Source organism: Homo sapiens, chromosome 9, assembly GCF_000001405.40.
Source record: "Homo sapiens chromosome 9, GRCh38.p14 Primary Assembly".
Lineage (NCBI taxonomy): Eukaryota > Metazoa > Chordata > Mammalia > Primates > Hominidae > Homo > Homo sapiens.
In genome coordinates this window covers 91,161,528-91,184,260 of record NC_000009.12, presented here as the reverse complement: position 1 = coordinate 91,184,260, position 22,733 = coordinate 91,161,528, and the positions used below count along the sequence as shown (strand labels likewise).

Sequence of the window (22,733 nt, the reverse complement as noted above, 5' to 3'; positions counted from 1 at the left end):
GGCTGTGGCTGATCCTATGGCTGCATTCAGCTGGGAGCTTGAACTGGCTGGGACATCCAAGCTGGCCTCCATCCTCCAGGGCCTCCTCCAGATGGCCTTGGCTTGTCCATGGATCTAGCTTGGCTTCCTTGCAGCATGGTGGTCAGGCTCTAATCGGGAGAACATAGAGCTCAAAGCATCTGAAGAATTGGACTTGAAAGGCCCAGAAGTTCACATTCTATTGGCCAAAGAGGAAAGGAAGGAGAGTCTCGGCCTCACAGACCAGAATAGGGATTAAATGAGTTGTTGTGTGGATGTGTCTGGCATTAGTAAATATCCTGTACACCATAGCTGTTTGCATTGTTATGCCCCTTTAGTCATTAAGTCATTAGATAATACTCATGGTGCAGGGGTGGAGGAAACAGCCTGTCAGAGGCAGTTTCGAGGGTCAGGAGGTTTGCTCAAGGAACTCCATGTGCAGAAGGACTCAACCCTGATTGCATATTACAATCACCTGAAAATCGCCCGGCCAGAGCCCCACCCAGGTGACTTCAACCAGTCCTGGGGTAGGATCCAGGTGTGGGTATTTTTTAAACTCCCCAAGTTAAGTTATTGTCATGATACAGCTATTGACCATGACTGGTAAGAGTTGTTGATTCAGTGAATGAAAGTGTGTTTAATTTTTTTTTTTTTCTGAGACGGAGTTTTGCTCTTGTTGCCCAGGCTGGAGTGCAATGGTGTGATCTCGGCTCACCGCAATCTCCGCCTCCCGAGTTCAAGCGATTCTTGTGCCTCAGCCTCCCAAGTAGCTGGAATCACAGGCATGCACCACTATGCCCGGTTAATTTTGTACTTTTAGTAGAGATGGGGGTTTCTCCATATTGGTCAGGTTGGTCTCGAATTCCCTACCTCAGGTGATCCGCCTGCCTTGGCCTCCCAAAGTGCTGGGATTACAGGCGTGAGCCACGGCGCCCAGCCTTAAATTGTAATCAAATAGCACTTTTCAAAAAGCTAACTATAGACAAGAAGGTGCTGGGTCCCAGAATGTGAAAGTACAGGAGGCTTAAGTTAAACATCGACGGCCCCTGAGCCCTGCCTTTCCACCAACAAACCAGCCAGGCTCCCAAGAAAAAAAGATGCCCCTTTGTTACATGAGATGAACATCTTAGACTGATCTATTAATGAAATAAATGTACAATTTGAGACTAAACAGCTGGACAGGAAGATGGGATGGGTCTGACTTCAGACACTATTGGCTGGTGCAGGAGCAGGAGGGAGGCAGAGTGGCGGTCTGTGCCCACTCGTGCGTTCATTTGTGACTATTATACAAGTAGTAGCACTCCAACATTTATAGTGTAGCCTCGGAATTATGCAGAATATATTTGCAATCTATTTTTGGTGGCAGAACTGGAAATAGAAATTTAAAAACCTGAGAGAGAGAGAGAGAAGAAAAGGAGGTGGGAAGAGCAGGAGCTTCATATTCCAGGTGGAAAGTTGAAGTCATGAAACCAGACAAATCTCTCTTTCTTTCCTCTAATTAATTAAAGGTTGTAAAGTCAGGGTGTGGGCTGGGTGTATTCCCTTTATTTTTTAAAACCATGTTTGACAGCTCCAGGCTCCCAGGATTTCATCAGGATCTCAGGTGCGCTGCAATTCATGTGTCATGCACCGGGTTGCGTAACTGCATTGTTACACGGGCAGCGTTTCTCTATGGAGTCCATTTGCATCATCTCATCAGGAGAGAGGAAAGCCCACAGCACCATCTTGCCCTTAAGGAAAAGGTGCAATTTCTTTCATGTTTTAAAGTAATCGCCTGAAAGATAAAAATACAAAAAGAAAAAAGTAAAAAACACCCATAGTGCCCACCAGTTAACAATGTTTAACAGCACGCTTCACCTTGCCTTTCCTATTTTGAGCATGGCGGCAAAACAGAAAGATTCTGGTCATGGACTTTGGACACAAGTTGCCTGACTTCAGAATTCAACTTAGGTTGGTCGCTTGCCTCAGTTTCCTGATCTGTGAATTGGAGATAACAGTGGTAACCCAGTTGAGGATTAAGTGCATGACTACAGTATCTGAAAGGTGCCGTGTCTGGCCCTGATAGGACACAGTACTGCTATCCTCACTACCATGACGACTCCTGACTTCTTCCTGTACTTACAAAAGACACATGCACACACACACATGCATAGACACAAACAGGAACACACGCACCATGCACCCACATTCCAACAAGTCAATGCTTGTGCTCATTTGCACACACACACAAACATGTACATACCTGTGAACACACACATACTTTTTTCCACAAACAATAACGTACTTACTCTACGTAGAGGTCTGCAGCTGCACACACATCACAACATGTCATGGATATTTCTTCCAGTCAGCAACCATACACTTTCCAGCAAGGGTGCCATTCTTATTAGCTGTTCCTCCCTGGATGGTTGGGGTTGTCCTGAGCCTTCACTGTGACCCAGACTTACCGCTGCAGGGCTTGCTGTGTGTTGGGGATGCAGAGTTTTAACTTTCTCAGATACTGTCAAATCGCTGTCCCAAATCCACGCCACTTTGCACACCTCCTGGAGGGCCTCTCTCTACGTCCTGGTCAGGAGTGCACGTGGATGCTGGACTCTACCAATCGGATCATTGAGAAATGCTCTCTCATTAATTTGGATTTCTGTAATTATTATTTATGCAAAGACTTCTAATACATCTTGCGCAGCCTGTAAGCACCATCGTGAACAATGTCAATCTATTCTTGGCCTGCACAGTTTGTTTTATAGCTTTGCTACAAACAAAAACTGTACAGACAACCCACAGCTCACTCAGACCAGTAATGTGCCAAATTAGCTCATGAGGCGAAGAGGAGTTCTAAACGTGGAACACTGTTTCCAGTTGCAATATGTTGGAAATGCCCATCCTCATCCTACCAAGCAAATAATTCAGCATCTAGTCATTCATTCAAAAATTGTTTCCTGAGCACCTGTCTGTGTCAGGCTTATACTGATTATAGGCTTTTGAGTGGCATCAGTAAACACAAATTTTTAAAAATCCCTGTCCTTGTGGAATTTATGGTCTATCCCAAATCTTATCTGAATGTGGGCACCTGAGATGAGGACCCCACAGCATATGGTGGCCGCTGCGTGTGGGAGTCCATAATGGCTATGGACCCACTTGGTGTCCCACTGCAGCTGTGACCAAGGCCACTCAGGGTGGGTGGGCAGACAGTGCCCCTAGGACCATGGGACAGGATCAGCAGAGAGTGTCTCATGGCCCTAGAGCAGTTCCTTACACAGATGGGAAAAAGGAAGCCCAAGGGTGCCTGCCTGCCCACGGCTCCTGGGAAGCCCACCTTCCTGCCTTCCTCCACGGGAAGGTCTGAGGAGCCCTGTCAGGCCCCCACTGTTCCCCGGCACCCATGCACTGAGGTCCCGCTCTGGGGCTGGTCTCCAGGCCGGTCCCTGCTGAGCCCGGGCTGGGGCAGAGCAGCGAGCAGAGGTGCAGGAAGGGCCCAGGCAGTGGGACCCACTCTGTGCCGGCTGGTGTCTGCCTCTTACTCAAGTTAATGGGACTGGCCCTTGGTTCCCAGTTCCTATTTGAAATATACCAGGAAAGGACTGTGATGCCTTGTCCTTGGCCGAGACTCTTGCCTCTGGACCAAGCAGCCGGCCAAGGGGGGTGGCAGCAGTCACTGGGCCAGCGTGTTTGGGGGGGCTCAGCCTGGACAGGTCACCAGTGGGGTCGCTGAATAGCGTGGCTGAGGGAGGAAAGCATTCCCCAAGTCCTCAGGGGCTTTTCCCTGAAATGGAACCAAGCCATGGATGTCCACAGCACCAGCATGCAGTGGCCATTTGCAGGCCTGTGGCGAGGGCTGACTGAGTGATGGAGCCACTCACAGTGGCACCCCAGCCTCATGGAGCTGGCACCAGGCCTGTGCAGCTAGGGAGTTTCAGACACAGGCCCAACACGGGTGCAGGGCTGTCCTGGAGAGAGGGCTGCTCATTCGGACAGCCAGGCGCACTTCCCCAGGGTGCTGATGGGTGATGTTTGAGTAACAAGTGACCACTGACTCGGTGGCTTAGAACAGCACAGCTTTGTTCTCTTACTGTTCTGGATGCTAGAAGTCTAAAACCAATCTGACTGGGTTAAAGTCAAAGGTGGGCAGGGCTGGTTCTTTCTGGAGGCTCTAGGGGAGAATCCATTTCTTTGCTGTCTTTCTGCTTCTGGGGGCCACCTGCATTCCTTGGCTCTTGTCTCCTTCCTCTGTCTTCAAAGCGCATCGCTGCAGTCTGTGTTCATCAGTGAGTCACCTCCTGCTCTCTTCTGCTCGGACTGTCTCAGGAGGACCCTTGTGACTACATTGCCCTCCTCCCCCAAATAATTCTGGTCTTCATCACATCTGCAGAGTCCTGTTTGCCATGTAAGGTCACACCCACGGGTTCTGGGGATTAGGATATGAACATATTTGGGGGCCGCTGTCATCCTGGTACGTGGAGAGACACAGAATGTTTCTCTGGGCAGGGGTGTAAAAGATAGGATTTGCAGGCAGAGAGAGCAGTGCCCAGCACCTGTGGCCCACTCTGGGCCAGTGAGTCAGCCCCGACCTGTTTCCAGCCTGGCCCGGCTCTGCACTGGGCAGGTCCGAGTGTGGCTACTCTCTCCAGGAAGTGTGGGTCCCTGTGGGGAATTGCAAACCCACCAGGTTGGCAGGAGCCAGGGACACAGGGCAGGCAGCAATGGTGGGATGGGAAGGCCGACCTTGTGCGTTGCAAGGGTGTCCCCACCTAACCGTGCAGAGCTTGGGCACACAGCATGGGGGTGCTGTGGGGCACTGGCGGCATAGAAGGTAAGGGAGGATGCCCTGATGGGATGCACATGATCTCGGTGGAAGTAGAATGAACAGACCGGGGCGAATGGAGCCGATGTTGGGATCGTAAGAGCCACCAGCCTAAGCCTGGATCCCTCGGAAACGTGTGTGTTGGCTCCTCAGCCAGCTGCGGGTTCAGCTCACGCCTTCCGGTCCTCTTTCTTGCCTGCTCATTGTATGGTCATCTGCAGGGAAGTCTTTCCCTTCTCGGCTCCATGAGGCCCACATCTGCACAAGTGCACCTCTTTGTCCACCCTGATGACTCCCTGCAGCCCCACAGCCCTCTCCTCTGAAGGCCTGTGACACCTCCAGGTGGCAGACAAAGGGGCTGGCTGCTCTGAGGCAGGGGAGGCGGGGTCTCCCCACTGCAGGTGAATACACTTGTTTCCAGATGGCACCAGGTGGTATGAGATGCCCGGGAACCACAGAGTGACCTCCTGTCCTCCACTCTGCGGCTTACTCCATGCTGTGCAACTTGACAAACCTCAGTAACTTTACCTACAAGATGTTGGTTTCAGGGCAACTCTGACACAACCCTACCTTGCTCTCCGTAGGCCTTGGGCTGTGCCCAACAATTCGTCTTCTGTCATAAATGAGGTATCCTCTGTCACAGATGAGGTCCCCTGGGACTGGCCCCTGGGAGCAGCAGGAACTCACCTGCCTCTCCTAAAATGTCCCCAGAGCGGGACTGAGCCCCAGACAGGAGTCCCAGCAAGGCCTGCTGGGGATGAGGGAGGCTCACGGGCAAGTCCTGGTGTCAGGCGGGGCATGTCCACACGTGGGGCCCCACCAACACAGGCCCACATAGGCAGGCTGCCTGTGCGCCTCTGCTCACTCCACACCCTGGACAGCCCAGCCATTTCCATCCTGGGGGTGTTTAGCCCACAGCTGAGAAGGATGGGGGGGTTCTGTGGGCAGGGCCAGGCAGCAGGGCTTGGCACTGTGGGCCGTGTGGGTGGTGTCCGAAGTTTCCAGCCACACCCCAGTGCTGCCCACACCCCTGCTGGCTGCTGAGTTCTGGCGCTGGGGCGTTGTCTCTCTGAGCTGTGCAATACCTGGGACCCCTCCTCTGTTTTCCTGTTCATCCAGACTTCTCATGGCCTGAGCTATGTTTCCCCTGGTTCCCAAATCCATCCAGCTCAGAGTTTCCCTTGCCAAACCACAGAAATAATACACAGCTTGTTTCCTGGCAAACACACCTTCCAGAGCCAGACTCAACTTGCCACAAGATGGGCTTATCATGAAATCAAATCTTAACACTGCCGTTCTCTGGGTTTTTGATCGTCCTCACAAAGGTGGGGAAACTGGAGTTGGCGTGTTTCAGAGCAATGGAAGCAGGCCACAGTCTGTTAACTCTGTAAAATAAAACCTTCTGGGAAACAGAAAATTTACCTGACCACCAGTGGGTGTGTGACCACAGGACTCTGGCTGGGGCTCCTGCCTGCTCACCGTAGAGATTGCAAGGGAACAAACAGTGCATCGTTTCCAGTTTGCATCTGTAGGTAACCACGTTTGAGTGAAGCTGGGAGCTGTCTCAGAAAAACGAAGCTTCTGAGCCAAGCGCGATGAATCCCTGTGCCCTCAGCAGGCCTGCCAGGCACAGCCACGGTGCCCGGCCAGCACCGCCACCACATTCACCGCTGCAAGGAGCTTCCTGGCTCTGCAGCAAGATCACACCCAGGCCTGTGGGCCGTGGCAGCCCTGTTTCCTCATTGCCGTCCCTGGGAGTCCTCTCTCCACCTTTTCATTGTCCCAGCAGGTCAGGCTACCCAGGGATGCCCTGGATTTTGGATCTCCTGGCACACTGACCGAAAACCCTTCTTTTTCCCTCAGAAAACACATTGGAAATGAGAGGGTATGAATCAGATAAGCTTAGGGACATCTCTGAAGTCATTAACATCTATTTTAAGCATCAACTGTGGGGTCTGAGACCCTAAGTATCATCTGTGGCTAATTGTCTGCAGCTTCCCCCAGAAATGACCGCCAAGCCACACTCCAGAGCTGCTGTCCTGGAACAGCCTGTAGGGAAGGAGCAATTTTTTGTAGTTTTTCCCCAATCTGTCTTGGGCCAGTGCTTTTGTAAAACACAGAGGACATGGATTACTGAAACACAGGCACACACTTTGATGCCACAGTCCTGTCAAATTGCCGTGAGAGTTCTGAACACGTACACTTCCTTGCACTCTGTTATCTCATCATGGGGCAGAAACCAGCAGCTCACAAGTGACCTGGTCCACGGACTCTACTGGGAGAGAGCTGGCAGCCCCATACCCTAGATTCTCTGTGTGTTCCTATTTCAGCCATAAACAACCTTCTTATTGTTCTTTTTGTTTGACAGACAGAGTCTCCCCTCTGTCGCCCAGGCTGGAGTGCAGTGATGGAATCTTGGCTCACTGCAACCTCCACCTCCCAGGTTCAAGCAATTCTCCTGCCTCAGCCTCCCAAGTACCTGGGATTACAGGTGTGCGCCACCACGCCTGGCTGATTTTTGTATTTTTGTAGAGACGGGGTTTCACTATGTTGGCCAGGCTGGTCTCGAACTCCTGACCTCAGGTGATCCATCTGCCTCGGCCTCCCAAAGTGCTGGGATTACAGGTGTGAGGCACCACACCCGGCTGTTATTATTATTATTTTTTTAAATAAACCACAGGTGCTGTCAAACTGCCAGCCAGAAAGTCCTTTGTCAGACCATGCAGCCTGATCTTCAGCCAGAACACTGTCATGGTGGCTCTTCTACAGCCCCTGTGAGCCAGCCTTTTAGGGGCTCCTGATGCAGTTCTTCTGTCCACCGCTCCGCAGTCTTGACTCTTGGGCGTCACGTGAGCTTGCCGATGTTCAGGTGGTCAGAGTCTTTCTTGGGCCTGACTTTTATACACCATGTAACATGCTGATTCCTAATCACTAAATATGTCCTAATCCAACTGTCACAGATATTCTGAGCAGGATGGCCACTTAGCTACAGGGTGGAAACAAAAATGAGGACGTCCGCCAACACAGAAACTGCAGTGCCTTCTTCAAAGATTTCACCTGGACATGCTTGTCAAATTCTGTACAACATGCCACCGAAAATGGCAGAAGCCCATTTTCCTTCTTGTATTTTTCTTTTCTTTTTTTGAGACAAAGCCTCAGTCTGTTGCCCATGCTGGAGTGCAGTGGTGCGATCTTGCCTCACTGCAGCCTCTGCCTCCTGGCTCACTGCAACCTCCACCTCCCGAATTCAAGCGATTCTTATGCCTCAGCCTCCCGAGTAGCTGGGATTACAGGCATGAGTCACCACACCTGGCTAATTTTTGTATTTTTAGTAGAGACAAGAGTTTCACCATGTTGGCCAGGCTGGTCTCAAACTCCCAACCTCAAGTGATCCTCCCGCTTTAGCCTCCCAAAGTGCTGGAATTGCAGGTGTGAGCCACATCACCAGGCTCTTCTTGAATTTTTCTACATCCTTCTTCACCTACAAATCCCTTCCCAACATACATGGTTTTCCCAGGGTCCTAGTTAATATATTTGAATATCTTCCAAACCGATAATTTGGTTTTCTGTGTTTCTTTGTCTAGATTTAGCTTTTCTTTCCTTTTAAAAATTAATTTATTACCAAATTTGGCAAGCTCTTAAAAATACATCGTGGAATGGAGTTTAACATTATTAAGTTGGGAGCTGATTTTGGTTCTCATTGGCTTAAATGAGCCATTTCTTCCACAATGGAGCCTGCATACACTTTGCAACTCTCATAAAAGTATTAATTTGTTAACTTTAGTGTTGTAAAAAAGTTCTTTTTAGTGGAGTGGAGGGGGTTAATGTTTTGTTATCTTTTGATGCGAGGTTATGCTGGTCCCATGAAACATGGATGTGTTCCCTCTTCCTCTATTTCCTGGAAGAGTCTGTGTACATTTGGTGCTATTATGTCTTTGAACGTTTGATGGAATTCACTTGTGAAACAATCTGGGCTGGTTTCCTTGGTGGGAAGGTTAATGATGACAAATTCAATTTCTTTCATGGATACAGGATTATTCATATTTTCCCTTTCATCTTGTGTAAATTTTGGTAGATCGTACTTCTCAGGAAATTTGTTCAGTTCATTAAGTTGCCAAATTGATTGCTATAAAGTTGTTCACAAAATCAGCTTATTATTCTTTTAATATCTGAAGTGGTAACCAGTGTTTCATTTCTGATATTTGTCATTTGTGCTCTATTAATAATTTTTTCTTATTAACTAGTTATGACTTTATTTTGTTGCTTTTAAAGAACTACGATTTAGCTTTGTAATCTTTTTCTTTTTTAAAAAAGATTTTTTTTTTCACTTTGTTTCTTTACAATCCCTTGTGTTGAGGGCGATTTTCAGTAGATCACAGCGAGGGAAGCTGTGTAATCTTTTTCTAACATTTGTTTTCTCTCTTGTTGACTTCTGCTCCTTCCGTCTTCTTTGGGTTTACTTTGCTCTTCTTTTTTTAGCTTTTTGAGGTGAACTGTTCCGTCTCTGAGGTCACATGTTTCCTCTTTTCTGACATAAGCCTTTAAAAGTGTAAATTTTCCTCCTCACACTGCTTTAACGCATCCCATACATTTTGATATATTTATTGTATTTTTACATATCTGTCAATTAGAAATATTTTTAAAATTCTTTGGGATTTTTTTTTGAAATGTGCATTGTTTAGAAGTGTGCAGGTTAATTTCCAAATATTGGGGTATTTCCTTGATCTGTTATTATTTCTAATTTAATTCTGCTGTAGTCAGTGAACCTACTTTGTGCTATTTCAAATATTTTTAAATTTTGGGGACTTGTATTATGGCCCAGCATATAGTTTGTCTTAGTGAACTTTCTATGTGTACTTGAAAAGAATGTGTAGTGATACAGAAATAGCAATTAGGTAAAGGTAACTGATGATAATGTTCACTTCCTCCAAATGTTTACTGATATTTTTGTAACTGATCAATAAGCTGATGAAAGAGAAGTGTTAAATCTCTTAATATGAGTGTGGAATTGTTTCTTTCTCCAACAAACTAAGCAGAGAAAGGGACTTCTTCCACCTGATAAAGGGCATCTGTGAAAAACCTGGAGCTAACCCAATACAATACTTATTGTTGAAATATTGAATACTTTCTCTCTAGGATCAGAAGGATAAGGAAGTAAGTGCATGCATTCTCTCTCTCTCTCTCTCTCTCTCTCTCTCTCTCTTCTTCTGGTTAATTGTACTGAGAACCTAGCTATGGCAATGAAGCAAGAAAAACATGTAAAGGCATAAATATTGGTGGGAAAGAAGTAAAATTGTCTCTATTTGAACATAACATGATTGTTTACATAGAAAACCTCAAGGAAACTACAGAACCACTAGTATAAGTCTGCAGGATACAAAAATCAATAGCATACATACATATATACTAGCAGCAAACAATTGGAAAATGAAATTTTAAAAAATTTATTTACAACAGTACCAAATAAAATATTTTTAAATATTTAACAAAAGATGCAGAAGTCCTTTTCACAGAAAACTGCAGAATATTATTAAGGGAGACATTTTAAAAGACCTGTACAGGCCGGGCATGCTGGTTCACGCCTGTAATCCTAGCACTTTGGGAGGCCAAGGCAGGCGGATCACCTGAGGTCAGGAGTTCGAGACCAGCTTGGCCAACATGATGAAACTCCATCTCTACTAAAAATACAAAAATTAGCGGGGCATGGTGGCACACACCTGTAATGCCAAATACTCGGGAGGCTGAGGCAGGAGAATCTCTTGAACCTGCGAGACAGAGGTTGCAGTGAACTGAGATCGCACCACTGCACTCCAGCCTAGGTTACAGAGTAAAACTTTGTCAAAAAAAACCAAAACAAAAAAAAAACCTGAATACATGGAGAGGCATTGTTCCAAATCTCAATTGGATAAGAAGACTCAATAGTGCTATCAGTTCTCCTTATTACTACCTTTTGTATAAATTTATGGGGTGCAAGTGTAATTTTGTTACAGGCATAGATTGTGTAGTGGTGAAATCAAGGCTTCTAGGATATCTGTCACCTAAATAACATACATTATACCCATTAAATAATTTTTTGGCATCCATCCCCTCACACATCCTCACCCTTCCAAGTGTTTGTTGTCTATCATTCCACATTCTGTGTCCATGTGTACACATTATTTAGCTTCCACTTATAAGTGTGAACATGTGATACTTGTCTGTGTCTGACTTATTTAATTTAAGGTAATGGCCTCTAGCTCCATCCATGTTGGTGGAAAAGATATGATTTCATTATTTTATGGCTGAATAGTATTCAATTATATATATGTGTGTGTGTGTGTGTGTGTGTGTGTGCATATATATATATATATATATATATATATATATATATATATGACATTTTCTTTATCCAGTCATCTACTGATGGATACTTAGGTTGATTCCACATCTTTGCTATTGTGAATAGTGCTGAGAGAAACAAGAGTGCAGGTGTCTTTTTGATACAATGATTTATTGTCCTTTGAGTAGATCCCAGTAGTGAGATTACTGAATTGAATGGTAGTTCTATTTTCAGTTCTTTGAGAAATCTCCATGCTGTTTTCCATAGAGCACTTACTAATTTACATTCCCACCAATAGTATATAAGTTCCCTTTTCTCTGCATCCTTGCTAACATCTGTTATTTTTTGTCTTTTTAATAATAGCCATTCTGTCTGGTGTAAGATGATATTTCATTGTGTTTTTAATTTGCGTTTCTCTGATGATTAATGATTTTGAGCATTCTTTCTTATGTTTGTTGGCCATTTGTATGTCTTCTTTTGAAAAATGTCTATTCATGTTCTTTGCCCACTTTTTAATGGGATTATTTGAGGTTTTTTTGTTGAGTTGTTTGAGTTTCTTATAAATTCTGACTGTCAGTCCCTGTCAAAATGCATAGTTTGCAAATATTTTCTCCCATTTCACTAGTTGTTTGTTCACTCAGCTGATTATTTCCTTTGCTGTGCAGAAGCTTTTTAGTTTAATTAAATCCCATTTGTCTGTTTTTGTTTCTGTTGCCTGTGCTTTTGAGGTCTTGGTGATGAATTTTTTGCCTAGACCAATGTTGAGAAGTTTTCCCTAGGTTTTCTTTTAGTACTTTTATAGTTTCAGATCTTACATTTAATTCATCTTGAGTTGACTTTTTTTATCTGGTGAGAGAATACGATCCACTTTCATTCTTCTGCAAATGACAATCCAGTTTTTCTAGCACAATTTACTAAAAAGAGTGTCCTTCCCCCAGTATATGTTCTTGTTGACTTTATCAAAGATCAGTTGGCTATAAATATGTGATTTTATTCCTGTGTTATCTACTCTGCTCCATTGATTTGTGTGTTTATACCAGTTCCATGCTGTTTTGGTTACTGTAGCCTGGTGGTATAATTTGAAATCAGATAATATGATGGCTCCAGCTTTGTTCTTTTTGCTTGGGATTGCTTTGGCTATTTGGGCTCTTTTTCAGTTCCATATGAATTTTAGGACTATTTTTTTCTAAATCTGTGAAAAATGATGTTGGTATTTTGGTAGGGATTGCATTAAATTTGTAGATTGTTTTTGACAGTATGGACACTTTAATAATATTAACTCTGATCAATTAGCATGGGATGTTTTTCCATTTGGGTTATCTACAATTTCTTTCATCAGTGTTTTGTAGCTTTCTTGGTAGAGGTCTTTCATCTTCCTGGTTAAAAATATTCCTAGATGTTTTAATTTTTTGGTAGGTATTGCAGATGGAATTGCCTTCTTGATTTGGTTCTCAACTAGATCATTATTGATATGTAGAAATGCTACTAATTTTAGTAGATTGATTTTGTATCCTAAAATTTTCCTGAATTTATTTATTGAATTGAAGAGTTTTTGATGGAATGTTTAGGGTTTTCTAGATGTAAGAATGCATCATCAGTGAACAGGGATAATTTGACTTACTTTTTTCCAGTTTGGATGCCTTTTATTTCTTTCACTTGATTGCTCTAGCTAGGACTTCCAGTACTATGTTGAATATGGGTGGTGAAAGTGGGCATCCTTGCCTTGTTCCAGTTCTTGGAGGGAATGCTTTAGACTTTTCCCCATTTAGTATGGTGCTGGCTGTGGGTTTGATGTATATGGGCTTTATTATTTTGAGGTATTTTCCTTCTGTGCCTAGTTTGTTGAGGTTATCAATTTATCATGTAAGGGATGCTGAATTTTATAAAATGCTTTTTCTGCATCTGTTGAGATGATCATATAGTTTTTGTTCTCAATTCTGTTAAGTGATGTTTCACATCTATTGCTTTATGTATGTTGAACCATCCTTGCATTCCTCATGTAAAATCCACTTGATCAGTTCTCAAATTGATCCATGGATTCAATGCAATCCTAATCAAAATTTTAGCAAAGAATTTTTTGTAGAAGTTGAGAAACTGATTCTAAAATTTACTTGAAAATATAAAGGACCTACATTAGTCAAAGACATTTTTAAGAAGTTGGAGGGCTGACACCACTTGATTTTAAGACTTCCTACAAAACTACAGTAACCAAGTAGTATGGTAATACTGAAATGTTAGATACATAGAGCCCTTGAACATAAGAGGGATAGTCATAGACAGGCAAAGATAGCCATAGATAATCAATTTTTAACAAAGATACCCACTCAAATTAATGAAGAAAGAAATGTTTTTTTCAACAACTGAGTATATGCATAAGGAAAAAATGAACATCAACTCTTACCTTGCTCTGTATACAAAATTCACTTGAAATGACCATACACATAAAAATCCTAGAAGAAAACATAGGAGACAATCCTTGCAACCTTGAGTGGCATATGTTTTTTACATAGGATACATAAAGCACAATCCATAAAAAATTGATAAACTGGACTTATCAAAATTTACAGCTTTTGCTTTTCAAAGGCACTACTAAGAAATGAAGGCAAGTCACAGAATAGGAGGAAATATTAGCAATACCTATATCTGATGATAACTTGTAATCACAAAACATAAATTGTGCTTAAATCTTAATATTATGGCTGGGTATAGTGGCTCACATCTGTAATCCCAGTGTTCTGGGAAGCCAGAGTGGGAAAATAGCTTGAGCCCAGGGGTTTGAGACCAACCCAGGCAACATAGTGAGACCCCATCTCTACAAAAAAATTAAAGATATAGTCAGGAGTGGTGGTGCATGCCTGTAGTCTCAGCTACTCAGGAGGCTAAGGTAGGAGGATCACTGAAGCCCAGGAGCTCAAGGCTGCAGTGAGCTATGATCATGCCATTGTATTCCAGCTTGGGCAACAGAGTGAGACCATGTCTCCAGAAAAGAAAAAGAAAAAAACCTCAAAATAGTAAAAGGACAGGCTTTTTTTGCAGATGCTGCCACCACCCAGGGCCCCCTGCCACCAACCATGATGGACATCACCGATAATGGTGAGCCCTTGGGTTGTGTCTCCTTCTAGCTGTTTGCAGACCAAGTTCCAAAGACAGCAAGAAACTTTTGCACTCTGAGCATTAGAGAGAAAATATTTGGTTATAAGGATTCCTGCTTTCACAGAATTATTCCAGGGTTTATGTGTCAGGATGGCGACTTCACAGGCCATAATGGCACTGGTGGAAAGTCCATTCATGGAGAGAAATTTGATGAAAACTTCATCCCAAAGCATACAGGTCCTGTCATCTTTCCATGGCAAATGCTAGACCCAACACAAACGGTTTCCAGTTTTTCATCTGCTCTGCCAAGACTGAGTGGTTAGAAGGCAAACATGTGGTCTTTGGGAAGGTGAAAGAAGGCATGAATATCTCAGAGGCCATGGAGCACTTTGGGTTCAGGAATAAGAAGACCAGCAAGAAGATCACCATTGCTGACTCTGGACAGTCTAATACATTTGACTCGTCCTTTATCTTAACCACCAGACTACTTTTTCTGTAACCTGGAGACCACCCCTCCACCCCATTTGCTCACAGTAGCCTATCATCTTTTGCTATCGATGCATTTTTTTTTTTTTTTGAGATGGAGTCCCCTCTATTGCCCAGGCTGGAGTGCAGTGGCACGATCTCAGCTCACGGCAACCTCTGCCTCCTGGGTTCAAGCGATTCTCCTGCCTCAGCCTCCTGAGTAGCTGGGACTACAGGCAAGCGCCACCATGCCCAGCTAGTATTTGTATTTTTAGCAGAGACAGTGTTTCATCATGTTGGCCAGGCTGGTCTCCAACTCCTGACCTCATGATTTGCCCGCCTCAGCCTCCCAAAGTGCTGAGATTACAGGCCTGAGCCACCGCGCCCAGCTGATGCATTCTTTAGGTTCCATATTTTCCTTATTCCCCTCCAGTTCTAGCTGGATTGCAGAGTTAAGTTTAAGATTATAAAATAAATATTAAATAACAACAAAAATAGTAAAAGGACAAAGAATACAATGTATACATGGGCAAATTATTTGAACAGACACTTCACCAAAGAAGATATAGAAATGACCAACAAATATAACATATATAAATGGCCAAAAAAACCATGAAAAGATGTTCAACATCATCAGTTGTCTGTGAATTGCAAACAAAACTGCAATGAGAGATCACTACACGTCCACTAGGATGGCTAAAATTACAGACCGACAATACCAAATCAGTCTTGGTGGGAGTGTAAATGATGCAAACACTTTAGCAAACTATTGGGCAATTTCTTAAAGTTAAGCATATACTTTTCATATGACCTAGTTTTGCCACTTTTGGGTATTTTCCCAGAATAAATAAAACATATGTTCACACAAATACCTGTGGGTGAATGCTCATACCAGCTTTATTCACAGTAGCCCCAAACTGGAAAAACCCCACACGTCTATTAACAGGTGAATGGAGAATCACTGTTGTATATCCATACAATGGAATACTATTCAGCAATGAAAGAGAATGAACTCTTTATACTCCCCACAGCATCAAGGAATCTCCAGATCACTATGCCGGGTGAGAGAGGCTAGCCAGAAAAGAGTATATCCTTCATGATTTCTCTTACACACAAATTAAACAACTCAAACTAATCTATAGTGATTTAAAAAACAGATGTGTGGTGTCCTGGTGTCCAGGGTGGTGGGAGATGAGGCAAAGGTGACCAAGGTGTGTCCCTTGTGGGTGATGAAGGTGTGTTGCCTCCTGATTGTGACCTTGGTTTGTGACCTGAGTGTGCACATAGTCAAACTCACTGGACTGGAAGCTTGAAGTGGACACAATTTACTGGACAGAAATCATACCCTCAATAAAGTTTCTAAAACGCTGCCTTGCCTCTGGTTGGGGGTAATTATAGACTGGGATGGATAGCAAGGAAATCTGGGGAAGCTGAGTGGTGCTCACGTGAACGTATACATGAGCAGATTCAGTGAGTGGCACACTTCAGATCAGTCATTTCACCCACTGTGCTACTATGCGTGTACATTTCAAACCTCAATTAATAGAAACTGTATACAACTCACTGTTTTAGGCTGAGAATAATTCCTAGAAATTTTACAAAACGATTTACTCTTTTTTTTTTTGAGACGGAGTCTCGCTCTGTTGCCCAGGCTGGAGTGCAGTGGCGTGATCTCCGCTCACTGCAAGCTCCACCTCCCGGGTTCACGCCATTCTCCTGCCTCAGCCTCCCGAGTAGCTGGGACTACAGGCACCCACCACCATGCCTGGCTAATTTTTTTTAGTATTTTTAGTAGAGACGGGGTTTCACCGTGTTAGCCACGGCGGTCTTGATCTCCTGACCTCGTGATCCACCCGCCTCGGCCTCCCAAAGTGCTGGGATTACAGGCGTGAGCCACCGCTCCCAGCCAAAAAGGTTTACACTTTTGGTAAAGTAAAAACTCATTTTCTTTTGAATTAGAGTTTTATGCATCAAATTTGCTCTAAATGGCACAAAACAATTAATAAGGGAAGGAGAGGAAATCCACATCTCTTCATGTTCTCACTGGGTGCATCAGGGAATGTTGGCATTAAGCCCCTTCTAGCTTTGCAGGTAAACTTTTCCCTCTAGGAAATTGGTGTGAGAGATGCCCTCCAGGAAACTGGCATGAGAGAAAGAAAATAATGCTAAATATAAACAGTTCGTTTTCTAAGAAACATCACCTGTTTGTTTATGAAATTTTGCCTTGGAGGTGCAAAATACTAAATAATTGAAGTTGCTGCCGCGATGAAGTGTTTTCAGTGAACATAAAATAAATGTTTCTAAAGGTTTTTGTTTGTTTGTTGTTATTTTGCTTGACCCAGTGTGTTCTAGGAATCTCCCGGCCGAGCCCGGGCAGTCTAATGATAGAGACACCTGGGCCACCCCAGGCATTCTAATGGGAGAGACTCCCGGCTGACCCCAAGCATTCTAAAGAATGCAAATTAGACTTGGCTTTTAGTTCAGTTTGCTAAATCGAGGCCTTACTTTTTGTTGGCCTCTCTCCATAAATCCTGTTGAGTGAGAAACTGATCTCAGGTTCTTTTCTGATTATGTCATTGAAGATCACCCACTTTAGTTGTGTAATGGTTGTTGCATTCTTATCGGGCAGTTTTTGCCTAAGGCACCCATTTCCCACTTATGGAGGGCAGAAATCTAAGGTGGCCCTGGAACCAGAACCAAGCCCCCTGGCGTTATTCGCATGATTATGTTATCTTGTATGGCAAAAGACTCTTTCAGATATAATTAAGGTCACTAATTGTCTGATCTAAAAATTGGAAGATTATCTGGGGTGGGGCCTAATATGAGTTCTTATTTATTTATTTATTTATTTTTGAGACAGAGTCTCGCTCTATCGCCCAGGCTGGGCAATGGGGCAATCTCGGCTCACTGCAACCTCTGCCTCCAGGTTGAAGCTATTCTCCTGCCTCAGCTTCCTGAGTAGTTGGGATTACAGGCACCTGCCACTGTGCCTGGCTAATTTTTGTATTTTTTAGTAGAGACGGGGTTTCATCATGTTGGCCGGGCTGGTCTCAAAGTGCTGACCTCAGGTGATCCGCCTGCCTCTGCCTCCCAAAGTGCTGGGATTACAGGTGTGAGCCACGGCACCCGGCCAAGTTCTTTAAAAGCAGAGTTTTCTCTGGCTGGTAACAGAGCCGGAGTTAGATTTGACACCAGGGTGGAGTCTCTGTTGCTGGCTTTGAGATGGAGGAGGCCCTGGGAGGTCCCTGTTACCGAGAGCAACCCCTGGCTGACAGCCAGCAAGAAAATGAGGATTTCAGGGGACTGCAAGGAAGTGAATTTGCCCAACAACCAGATTAAACTTGGAGGTAGATTTTTTTCCCCAAACCTCCAGATAGGAGACCTTGACATTGGCCTTGTGAGACTCCAAGCAGAAAACCCCATTAAACCCGCCTGGACTTCTGACCTGCAGAATTATGAGACCATAAATGGGTGTTGTTTTAAGCTATTAAGTCTGTTATACAGTAATAGGAATTTATTATTTGTTACACAGTTATAGAAAATGAATATACAGGTGGGTGGGGTGGGGGGGTATAGCTCACACCTGTAATCCCAGCACTTTGAAAGCCTGAGGTGGGCGAATCACTTGAGCCCAGGAGTTTGAGACCAGCCTGGGCAACATGGCAAGACCTCATCTCTACTAAAAGTACAAAAAATTAGCTGGATGTGGTGGTGCATGCCTGTAGTCCCAGCTACTCGGGAGGCTGAGGTGGGAGGATCACCTGAGCCCGAAAACTCGAGGCTGCAGTGAGCAGTGACCATGCCACTGCACTCCAGCCTGGGTGACAGAGTGAGACCCTGTCTCAAAAAAGGAAAAAAGAAAGAAAGAAAAAAAAATTAATATATAGCTCTGATAATACAATCTCAGTAATAAACCATTTGATTTATTTCCAATGTTATTGCTGTTTCCTGGAACAATGAGTGTGGTTCGATTTTATTTTTATTTTTTAGTTGTGGACAAGGTCTCCATTGTCTAAGCCACTGTGAGAATTCAGGTAAATCATGGCCCATCCTGGGACAGTTCCTCCACATTCTTGCTACTCAAAGTGTGCTTCATGGACTAGTGGCTTCAGCCTCACCCAGGAACGTGTTAGAAACACAGAATCGTGTCACCGCCCCAGACCTCCTGATGCAGAATCTTCATTTTAGTAAGCGACCCACTGCCCCCGCGCCCCCTGATGATTTGGGTGCTCATTAAAGTTTGAGAAGCACTGTTGGAGCTTGCCCTGAAGTTGTAGTGCGCTCTTACGGATTTCAAACCAAAAAGCATTACCTCTGTGAAGCCAGTCTGGAGCCTGGCTAGACCTTCTCCACCACCTCGGGGGCTTCTTATGTTCCAGAGTCTAACACTCTGGCCAGATACCAGGGACCTTTCACCCTCAGAACCTGTGCTCACATGTGGCAGTGAGCAGTGCCTGCACCTCAAGGCACCGCATCTTCCCAGCTACAGTGGGCCTGGCTGCTCCAGCTGCGCCCAACATGTGTTAGTAGGGGAATTAAATACCCCTCTCACTCCCAGTTTTGTGTATTTAAAAAATCCTCGGAAGAGAGTGGTATATGAGGTTTGAGGCTTATCAGCAGCTGCAGCAGCACAGGCCACGTCGTAGCTGTGAGTCATAGACAAGCATGCACACTGTGGCTGCCTGAGGCCTCTGAGCTGCCTTCCTCAGTCCTTCCCTCTGCAGGGCTTGGGCGTGGCGAGGCGGCTTCTTCAGCAAGTGCTGCGGTCAGCGTAGCGGGATTCAGAGTGCAGCTTGTCTGAGTGTCCTCTGCTTCAAGTTCACCTCGGCTGTCATCCCCCAGCAGACCACACATGCCCAGGGGAATGACCCTTTCTTACCACTGCGTCTTCAGACTGGGGTTGCTTTCTCTCCATCTCACCTTCTCCTGTACCACCTGAGGTACTAAATCTTCCAGGAAACCTTCCTTGAATGTCTTCTGACATCCCAGTGAGGGGCTCCTGATATTCACTTCCATAGTGCTTTGGTCACCTACTGCAGCATAAAACCACTCCAAATTGAATTGCTTTGCTCACAATTGCACAGGCCAGGGATTTGGGCAGGGCTTGGCTAGGCGCTTTTCACAAGGTGGGTCTCCTTTGTGGATGCTGTTTGATGCTGTCCTCTGAAGCCTCCACTGGAGGCTGGAGCTGCCTGTCCAAGCTGGTGGCCTGACACTGCTGCGGGGAGGCACAGGTGGCACTTTGATGAAAGCACCTACACGTAGCCTGTCTCTGTGGCTGGGGCTCTCTCACGGCGTGGTGCCTGGGCTCTGAGAGAGGGGGTCCTGAGAGCAAGTGCTCCAGGAGACACAGCCGAAGCCACGGAGCTCGCTGTGGCCTGGTCTGGAACTTTCACACACCACAAATGCTGCATTTCTGTTGGGTCAAATGTGTCACATAAGTCTGCACAGACTCGGAAGGAGGAGACTTACAGCACCATGCTGTGGCAGGGACAGCAAAGACTGTGTGGCCACGCTTCCTCTATCATGCGTGGCCAGGGTCTTCCCCACCACGACTCCTCCCCTAGGCTGTGCCATCTCACAGGGCTGCCTCCAAGCACATGCCTTCCCCAGCACCACACTCAGTGCTGGCCCTGTGAACACATCTGTGGGACTGATGGAGTAGAAACCTGCTTCAGCAAAAGTCGGGGAGTGGCAAACCTGGGAATGTAGAGAAGCACTCTGTGTGCAACACGTATTTCTTACGTACGCAATGATGGCTGAAGTCCATGCGGAGTTTATCACTACTGGTCAGTTTCAGAGTGTAGGTCAGAACCCGTGAGCCTTCCTTGCCAGAACAGTTTGGAGTGTCACACGAGGACTTCAGCCTGGACACCAGAACCAGGTGGGCAGTGGGGCCCATCACGTGCCACTGTAGTGTGAAGGGACAGGGTCTGCCTGCTGGTCTGCCCAGGGAGAAGATACTCCTAGCTCTTCAGGCTCCTACTCAATCCCCTGACAGCACCCCTTAGCGAAAAGGCACCACCCTCGGCGTCAAGCGCATCTCTGAATGAGGGTCATGGTGAGCTTGTGTTAGGAAAATAGCTCTCTTGCCAATACGCAGGCAAAGTAAGCTTCTGCAATTCTCAAAGTCCCGAGTTTGCAGAATTTTATTTACAGCAAAATGTTGGTTTACCCACAAACATCCTGCTTGGCTAAATATATCTCCTGCTCCTAGAACAGGACCTGTGGTTTTCAAGCATGGGTTTTGGCCTCCCTTCAGCATGCTGGCATGCATGTGCCCTGCTCTTTCTCCTGTGATCATCGGCATGATAGGAGGCGAGTGAGGAACTCAGTGTCTTCTGACACAGGCATCTCACAACACCAGTGCAGCCGGACCGTTGTCTGGTAGGTCTCTGTGCACCCAGGAGGACCTGGGCCTGCGAGAAGTCTGGGGCCCACTGCTGGGTATGCTCGTTTCTTGAGCATCCGAGTCACCTTTACAGTCTGCGATGATTGACGAGGTCAAACAGGACTCACTTGCATTGCCGGGTCTCTGTGGCGACAGGGAGGACTTGGAGGTAGGTGTTCAGGTCAGAAGGGACAGTCCTGACTTCCTCCACCGCTGTCTGCAGAAGCAGAGGCTGAAGCCACAGGCTGCGGGGGTGGGGAGCATGCTCCAGGAAGTGGCTCTCGGTGCTCCTGTCCACAGCCTCTGCAAGGAGAGGCACAGGCCCAGGCAAAGAACACAGTATGGCAAGTGAGGAGAAGGGGAAAAAATCAAATTACACGCTGTTTCTCCTTTGATAGTAGGAAGGCAGGAGGGAAGGGAGCTATGTAGACACAGGAGACGCTCCCAGTTCTGCTGGAGCTTAGGCTGGCCCTGGAGCTAAGCTTTAGCAATCTCCAAGGGAAAAGGATTGTTTAACAGAAAAATGGGGCCGAGGAAATACTGGACTTCAAATGAGAAGAAACTTTTTCAGAATCTTCGTGGCCTTGGGGCTGGTTGTCCTTCCCAGAACCATACTTTGTGGCAGTGGGGAAGTCATCTCTGATCTGAATCCTCCCCGGCCAGGATGTCAAATGGTCATTTACAGAGAATTAGTAACTGACAGGGAGAGGAGAGAACACCCTTCTTTGCCTGTGAGTGATGGCTGAGTCACACGCAGTGTGCGGTGATGGGCAACCATTATTTTTTGTTTGCTGAAATAATTTCATGGTGCAGATTGGTAGGGAGAGTTCATTTTTGAGAAAAGTCAGTTTCCTGTATTTGAGCAAAGAAACCACAAATCATTCTTTAACATTAGTAAATTTCTGTAAAGCACGAGTTGTCCTAAGTGAGGTGCGAGTGACACGAATCTTTTCCTCAGGCACAGAACTGTCATTCCTGCACTCTTGCGAGCCAAGGGTTAAATATTCAGGAATGTTCTGCCACCTGTTCTCAGGCAGCAATTTGAGCCTGGGAGGCCGCCCAGACAAGGACATGACAGCCCCCTCATGCCCCTTGCAGTTCTGAATGCCTCTCATCAATCCCGGGGTCTTGGGGGAATGGCAGAAGGATCCCCATCACAGTGGGGTCTCCCTTTTCACTTATAAATGCGGCGGGGCTGTGCTGTGCCTTCCGAGTGAGGAAGGGCTCTCTTCAGCCCACTTCACAGAAGCCTCCCTGGCAATCCAAGACCCCTAGTCCAGCTGCAGATGGCAAAGGAGACCCAAAGCACAGGAAAAAAACGCTATGGATAACCCTCAACAGCACTGCAGTGGTCTGAGGCTACTTGAGGCTAAGGGTGCAGAAGACCAGCCCAGGCACAGGTGTCAGGGAAGGCCCTGTCCTCAAGCGTTGGGAAGGAGGTGCTCTTCCAATCAGCCTCTGTCCCCCAACTGAGGGAAAGAGTCCGGCCAGGGGCCACCTGGGACCACCCAAGCCCACTGCATCTTCTCCTCCTTTTCCATCTGGTGACAGCTGCATTTCCGTGGGTGGCCAGGAGGAGAGTTTTTGATTCCCTTGCTGCCATGAAGACATGTGTGAAGAAAAGAAGCTGAGCTCACTCTGAGCCA

At 45.8% G+C, this 22,733-nt stretch overlaps 2 long non-coding RNA genes across 3 annotated transcripts in view, besides 2 other annotated features; one reads left to right on the top strand and one right to left on the bottom strand.

Moving 5' to 3' along the window:
• Nucleotides 1-1,498: 1,498 nt before the first annotated feature.
• The window catches only part of LINC00484 (long intergenic non-protein coding RNA 484), a 63,701-nt gene continuing 42,466 nt past the window's right edge, over nt 1,499-22,733 (bottom strand). The window contains exon 3 of the long non-coding RNA NR_135306.1: nt 1,499-1,792. This is a non-coding gene — a long non-coding RNA (long intergenic non-protein coding RNA 484). The remainder of the gene's footprint in view (nt 1,793-22,733) is intronic.
• Nucleotides 19,280-19,574: an enhancer, noted in NCBI's record as "tiled region #1412; K562 Activating DNase unmatched - State 5:Enh". NCBI's record gives its function as "activates a minimal TATA promoter and a strong SV40 promoter by Sharpr-MPRA in K562 cells {active_cell/tissue: K562}" and the evidence as "EXISTENCE:reporter gene assay evidence [ECO:0000049][PMID:27701403]".
• Nucleotides 20,972-21,021: an enhancer, noted in NCBI's record as "active region_28584". NCBI's record gives its function as "activates an Ori minimal core promoter by ATAC-STARR-seq in GM12878 lymphoblastoid cells {active_cell/tissue: GM12878}" and the evidence as "EXISTENCE:reporter gene assay evidence [ECO:0000049][PMID:35858748]".
• Nucleotides 20,981-22,733, top strand: part of LINC02937 (long intergenic non-protein coding RNA 2937) — an 86,180-nt gene continuing 84,427 nt past the window's right edge. For both annotated transcript variants that reach the window (NR_184105.1, NR_184106.1), the window contains exon 1: nt 20,981-21,256. This is a non-coding gene — a long non-coding RNA (long intergenic non-protein coding RNA 2937). The remainder of the gene's footprint in view (nt 21,257-22,733) is intronic.